This window comes from Homo sapiens, chromosome 8, assembly GCF_000001405.40.
Source record: "Homo sapiens chromosome 8, GRCh38.p14 Primary Assembly".
NCBI classification, from domain to species: Eukaryota; Metazoa; Chordata; class Mammalia; order Primates; family Hominidae; genus Homo; species Homo sapiens.
In genome coordinates this window covers 40051782-40056651 of record NC_000008.11, presented here as the reverse complement: position 1 = coordinate 40056651, position 4870 = coordinate 40051782, and the positions used below count along the sequence as shown (strand labels likewise).

Sequence of the window (4870 nt, the reverse complement as noted above, 5' to 3'; positions counted from 1 at the left end):
TTTTTTTTAAGTGAATCCTTTATGTCTCAACTTAGACATGGTCTCCTCCAGGAAGCTGTTCTCAAGCCTCTGCTCATCTAGATACTGTGTTCCTATTCATGTTCCTAAGTACCATGTATTTCCTTCATTCTAGCACTTATTACAATTTATTAAACTTGCCTGTTTGTGTGTTATTTGTTTGTTTGTCTATATCCCACAAAAGACTACAAGTTCAGAGAGATCAAGGACTTTGTTGTTCTCAGTGACTGTCCTCTTAGCACAATGCCTCACACACAGTAGGCAGGCATTCAGTAATATGGGTTGAATAAATAAATCGGTGTATAAGAATTTTTAGTTTTATGCAAATATCTATGCAGCATTTTCTCACTTGTCCTTTTGAAAATTCTGTGAAGGAGATTGAATCGATCTTAAGGCTCCTATTTCACTGATGTGGAAGTTGAGGTCTCAGAAAGTTAAGGAAATGATGTAGGGCCATGCAGATGGAAAGTGGTAGAGCCATCTCTTGGTACAGCTTTTATTCATACCACAATATCCCAGATCTTAGCTTCTTATTTCATACAAAGAACACTTTTTTTGCTAGGTGTCTTCTTTTTCATGCCTAAGTGAAAATTGTGTGTGTGCTACAGTTTTCTTCTGTGGGCAGTAGTAGACCCTATTGGCACCCCACCTCCATATTCCACAACCCACCTTCACATTCACCTGTGACCATGTAGGCAGTTTCCAGAAGTTTGAGAACTTCTCACCCCAAGCACCTACATTTCTTTTCCTCCTCTGCCTGAGGTTTTCTTCAGTACCATTTTCTTCAGGAACTCGCTTTCTACCTAGTGGTACAGCCCAAAAGTGTATAGTGAGGGGGCTAACGCCCTAGGGAGAAATCCCCAATTAATGGGGATGAGAATTGCCAGGTTAAATAAGGCAGCCTCCACACCCTCTGCTGGGACAATTCAGAGGTGTGCTTCTTCCTTCAGGTTTCCTGGAGGGTCTACACTGGGATTGAAACCCAGGGGCCTGCAGAGCTCAACCCACACAATAATACTCCCTTTCATGGCTTTTCTCCTGCCCTGAATCATTGCCATCACTGTCTTATTTATGCTTCCAGGGACTATTTCACAAATAAACTACCTGCATGCAAGCCTTATCTTGAGGTCTTCTTTTGGAAAATAAACAAACTAACCAATCTGCAATAAGTAAGAAGGACAGAAGCAAAGGACGGAGTTTCCTCTCCACAGCTGATAAGTGTCCTTGGAGAATACTCCCAGCCATGTGGCTCATCCAGCTCCTCGCCAGGTGACCTCTCGAGGCCCCTTTCCTCTCTGAGAGGTCCCTCATTCTACTCCAGGGTACACTTGTTCATCTAACACCATGCTTGACGATGACGGCTCACCCCAATGTGGTCTACCTACAGCTGCACTGTCACTCTCTGGGCACTGGCCTGTGGCAGGCTGGAACTGGCACCGAGCAGGCAATTTCCAAACTCTGTGCCAGTTCTTTTTGTCCTTTGTTTATCAGAACTGGCTGGAATTACTGACTGGAACCCCTAAGGGGAGGACAGAAGTTGCAAACAACCATAGCTCTCTACACTCCATTAGCTGAGGCAGACAGAGCCAGCAGCACAATACGGCATTAACTTCCAGACATGCACATTTAGTTTCAGACGGTCCACAAGAAGGGTGGGGGGAGCAAGGCAGAAACCGTACTCATGCAGCAAAATGCAAACGAGTAGCACACCGGATGCCCTTTGTTAACTATTGCTCAACAGGCTTCTGAAACAAGTTTTCCCAGAGTTGATGAAATGTTTGTTTATTCAAGGAGCATGTCTCTAAAATCCAAAGGTCAATTTCATTGATTGATGTCTGTGCCACCTGCACCGCAAAGAGCGACCTTCTAACCTGTGTCCTCTTTTCACCTCTCCCTGGGGACAAAAGCCACTACCTTATGGGCACCACCTGCGTACCAAGGTACTGTTTCTTTCACCCCCAACTACTTTGACCTGCTGCCTGCTCCATCACATATGCCACCCTACCAGGAAAGACTCACAGGTGCAGAGGGGTAAATGTGTTGTGTTGGCTGTGGGATCAAACTCTAGACAGCTCCGTGAATTTTGTCTTATTTATTTTCACATCCCATTCCTAAGTAGAGTGTCTGGCACTTAGTGGATGTTCATTAAATATTTGTTAAATCCTTGGATGCATGCATGAATGAATTAATGAATTAATGCATAATTCTTCCCAGCTTGAAGGGTTGAGATTTATGCTATAAATATATTTCCTGAGTAATTAGCTCTGTGCATAGCGGGTGCCCAGTAAATATGAATTAATGGATCAATAATGTGCCTGAACGGGGTTTGCAGAGGAAAAATCACTAGGAAGACCTGTAGGTGTGCCCCCACTTTGTCGTTGGTGGAATTGTATGACATACCCCCTGAGTGATTAGAGTCTCATATAACTGATTCTTGTGATAGTTGGCACTGCTGAGATTGGTAAGAAATCATTTTAGATAGGCTTTCCATTTCTGCATATGCCCTTTCTTCACATCCTGTTTTGTATTAGTTTTTTTGAGGCATCTAGGCAGGGCTAGACAGTGGGGAATGATCAGGGCTATAAGTTATTTCCAGATAGATCCCTTAAATGAGTAAGAGTCTGCCTGTGGTCTTAAGTGTAGGTAACTAGTCCCTAAGGGGAGGTACTAGCTGTATTATCTATAGTACCCTGTGGGCATGCAATACGTTCAATAAAGCCATAATAGAGTAATAGGTACAATCATTTATTATCTTTCTCCATTTAAAGCTGTTTCAGAGTGACATATCAAATACCTTAAAATGAAGAAGTTTCCTTTCTTCATTTTAAAATGATATTGTAGAATTGCAGCATTTTGTTTTTTCACTCTCATATCATATTGAATTATTTCTGGAATATTTATAAATAATATACCTTGGGTCAACATTTCCTATATTTAATAATAATGATAGTGATAATAGTAATGAAAACAGTGTAACAGGTTTTTTTTTGTTTTTTGTTTTTTGTTTTAGATGGAGTTTTGCTCTTGTTGCCCAGATTGGCATGCAATGGCGCAATCTTGGCTCACTACAACCTCTGCCTCCTGGGTTCAAATGATTCTCCTGCCTCAGCCTCCCAAGTAGCTGGGATTATAGGCACATGCCACCACACCCAGATAATTTTTGTATTTTTAGCAGAGATGGGGTTTTGCCATGTTGACCAGGCTCGTCTCGAATTCCTCACCTCAGGTAATCCACCTGCCTCAGCCTCCCAAAGTGCTGGGATTACAGGTATGAGACTCCACGCCCAGCCAATCTACTTATTTTAAGCAATCTTTCTGGAGATTCCATACAATGTTTTTATTTACATCTCATTTAGTTACAGGGCTGTACTTAGAAGTAATGATAGCTGGGAAGTGTGAGGATTTAGCTAGATGATTAATACCCTAAAGAAAGTCATCATTCTGTTCCATAGAATTCTTACCAACAGTCTGCCACTGCAAAGGCGCATCCTAATAGTCAAGTAGACGGGCTTGCCTTGGGATGTTGGTAAGTTCCCTTACTGATCATCCCAGAATTTGCTTAATGAACTCATGAACAAAGTAGCCCTGGTGGCAGCAATGGGAACTGTGCATCTGCTCAGCCACAAGCATGTCCCTCACCAAGGCTGACTTGTAACTGACCACTGCTGAATACCCAATAGGCTACTATTGCTAAGCACCCAGTATAGGTTAAAATTTTGGGTCACTATTTGTTGATAAAGGAATCCAGCATCACAGTAGTGAATTGTTCACATTAGGCCCCTCCTATTATGATGAGGGCAGAGATTTGGTTTTACTGACAGAGACACTTTTTCCAGATTTGTATTTTCTTTCTGTGTCTGTCATGGCTTTGACAGAACTATAATCCATGAGCTTGTAGAACTCCATACACACCATCATGACATCTCATGATTAGGGACTCTCCCTCACTGTCAGGGGAGTAAGGCTATGATGCCACGCTGAGGGCATTCACTGGTCTGATTCTGTATCCCATTATTCTGAAGCAACGACTGTGCCACAGCTGGAAACAAAGCCTTCCCAGCTTGTGCAGCCATCCTGAGGAGTAAAGTGAATGCTATGAAGTACTGATCCAACATATGATGGTGTTTTACTCACAGCTAAAACATATGGTTCACAGAATTGAAAGATGGAAATAGATTTGGTGCTTTCCTAGGTTACACACCTGCTTGCCATCTGTTGTCAGTTCTTCTCAGGTCTTGGAGAGCTGAGAATTTTAATACTAATTTACTTGGGAACTTGGGGTATCCTATTTTATTAGATGAATTAGGTCAAAAAAGATGTTATGATTTTAGCTATGGGAGAAATTGGATTATTCATATACATTAGAGCAGGAGATATATGAATAAAATCTAACTTATTCCCTTCATGGTTTCTTTGTAAAATTAGGCATGGTAGTAAATATTAACAGAAGTCCTTAGTAGAAGGACTGTTAAGGTCTCAGATCTGTGAGGATGGCAAAGGTTTTTGTCACCATATTAAGAATCCTTTGACAAACTGGTTGTTGGAAGATGGCAAGAGAAACAGAGCACGTGGGAAGGAAGGCGGAAAAAAAGATTAGTGGGCCAGGCGCCACGGCTCTTGCCTGTAATCCCAGCTTTTTGGGAGGCCGAGGCGGGTGGGTCGCGAGGTCAGGAGCTCAAGACCAGCCTGAACAACACGGTGAAACCCCATTTCTACTAAAAATACAAAAATTATCCAGGCGTGTTGGCAGGTACCTGTAATCCCAGCTACTTGGGAGGCTGAGGTGGGAGAATTGTTTGAAAGCCCATGGGGCAGACGTTGCAGTGAGCTGGGATCATGCCACTGCACAGCA

At 42.6% G+C, this 4870-nt stretch overlaps 4 annotated features.

Moving 5' to 3' along the window:
* Window positions 1588-1882: an enhancer, noted in NCBI's record as "tiled region #2710; HepG2 Activating DNase matched - State 5:Enh". NCBI's record gives its function as "activates a minimal TATA promoter and a strong SV40 promoter by Sharpr-MPRA in HepG2 cells {active_cell/tissue: HepG2}" and the evidence as "EXISTENCE:reporter gene assay evidence [ECO:0000049][PMID:27701403]".
* Window positions 1588-1901: a biological region, named in NCBI's record as "HNF4 motif-containing MPRA enhancer 150".
* Window positions 1757-1901: an enhancer, noted in NCBI's record as "145 bp enhancer 150 fragment used in the MPRA reporter construct; PK_construct_1581". NCBI's record gives its function as "activates an SV40 promoter by MPRA in HepG2 cells {active_cell/tissue: HepG2}" and the evidence as "EXISTENCE:reporter gene assay evidence [ECO:0000049][PMID:23512712]".
* Window positions 1823-1836: a transcriptional cis regulatory region, noted in NCBI's record as "HNF4 motif; MPRA enhancer 150 activity is reduced when this motif is scrambled". NCBI's record gives its function as "necessary for full activity of MPRA enhancer 150 {active_cell/tissue: HepG2}" and the evidence as "EXISTENCE:site-directed mutagenesis evidence [ECO:0005528][PMID:23512712]".